Below are 1995 nucleotides of genomic sequence, written 5' to 3' on the forward strand. Positions count from 1 at the left end.
TCACTATAAACATAAAATGGGAGAAGTGAGAGAAAGGGGTGAGAGTACGTAGGAGGAGTACACTTAAATGCCTAGAGGCAAGAGGGATCAACGCATTAGGGGAACCAGAAGCAGCTCAGGACAGCTGGACCACAGAATGTGCAGAGGCAGTAACATGACAGAGGTTGGGGTGAGAGTACATAGGAGGATTACACTTAAATGCCTAGAGGCAAGAAGGACCAACACATTAGGGGAACCAGGAGCAGCTCAGGACAGCTGGACCACAGAATGTGCAGAAGCAGTAACATGACAGAGGTTGGAAAGGTATAGAAAGGTCATAGGACCTCTCAATTTTCATTCTGAAGGCAATGAGCATCATGAATTTAATATAAAGTGATAAGACATTTGGTGTTGACTTAAATGCAAAAATTCAGATAGATGCTGATGGCTTTCATAAAAATGCTTATGCTCCTCTATCAGGATTCTACACTTAAAAGACATTTTGCTAAGCAGAATGTGGTCATATCTATAGGGGGTTCTAAATATGTCCTCCAGTTACAATTGTCTTTCGTTTTATTATTGGAAAGGATTTGAAACTATAGTTATCTATGTACTCTATCTCAACACATGGTCATTCAGTTCTACATGTGGAAAGAATAATCTGTTCAATGAATCATTTACTTCTCAATTTAATTCAATGTGTTTGTTTGCACTTTTAGTTTTGACTACTACAGCAGTGGTTTAAATTGAGAAGACTAGATATTTGATGATACATGAAGAGGTAATGATATTTTAGCAAAGCTAGATCATTCATGTATAGCACACGAGAGAAAAAACTCTTTAAAACACCATGAGGTAAAATAATTTGGGCCACAAGAGAGGTACTGTGGGTAGAGGAGAAATCATTGCTGATCATTACCGAAGCTGGGTGATGAGTGCTGGGGGGTTCATTATACCCTTTTTTTTCCTTTTGTATGTTTGATGATAAAAAATTAACAATTAATCTGTTGCTTAGCATTTGCCTCTTTAAGGTTATTAGTAAAAGCACGAATTCTGAGCTAACTGGGGAAAAGTCTTACCTCTTTGAAACATTAAGGGAACTTCTAACACAACTTTTATGATTAATAGCTTAGCTTGTGTGCCAATTTTTTCAAGTTAATATATAGCATCAATTTGATTTCTCAAAAATTCCAGCAAGATTTCTTTTTTTCCTGGAGGTAGAAAATTAGACTAGAACGTTTATATGGGAAAGTAAACATTTAAGAAGAGTTTTTAAAAACTCTGAAAAATTAGAGAAATGAGGAAAGAGAATTAATTAATAGCAAATATTAAAACAGAATATAGAACCTCTATAATATAGCAGTTTGACATTGGTACATTACTAGACAGACAGATCAATAGAAGATTCTACAAAACAACAAATAGCTTGGTTTCCTCAAAATGTCAGTGTCATGAAGGACAAAACACAAACAAAGAAAAAGTTACCGGGTGTGTTCTGGATTAAAGGAGATTAAACAGACATGAAAACCAAACACAATGGGTGATGTGTGGTTGGATTCTGAATTTTCAGAAAACACATAAAGGACATCTTGAAGGCAATTGGGCAGATTTGAATATGGACTGAATATTATACAATATTATGATGTAAATGTTAAATACATTAGATGTTATGAGGGTATCTTGGTAATGTATAGAATCTTCTTATTCTGAGGAGTCAATGCTGAAGTATTTAGAAATGAAATGTCACTTTTCTGCAACTTAAAAAATCTAAAATGTATGGTTCTATGGCTACAAGAATCTAGGACTGTTGAAACATTAGTGAGGTTTGGTGTACTTGCAGACTCAGGAACATGGGAAGTCGTGATTGACCTTCAGGCCTCTCACTTGTCCAGGGACATTTAAGCTTCTGAGAAAGCAACACAGTAGCCAGATGAAATAATAATGGCTCTTGTAGGTAATAGTTCACTTTGATAATAATAAGAAATATATTTCTGCTAAAGACAATGCAAGGTAGAC

The sequence above is a fragment of the Homo sapiens genome, chromosome 2 (assembly GCF_000001405.40).
Source record: "Homo sapiens chromosome 2, GRCh38.p14 Primary Assembly".
Lineage (NCBI taxonomy): Eukaryota > Metazoa > Chordata > Mammalia > Primates > Hominidae > Homo > Homo sapiens.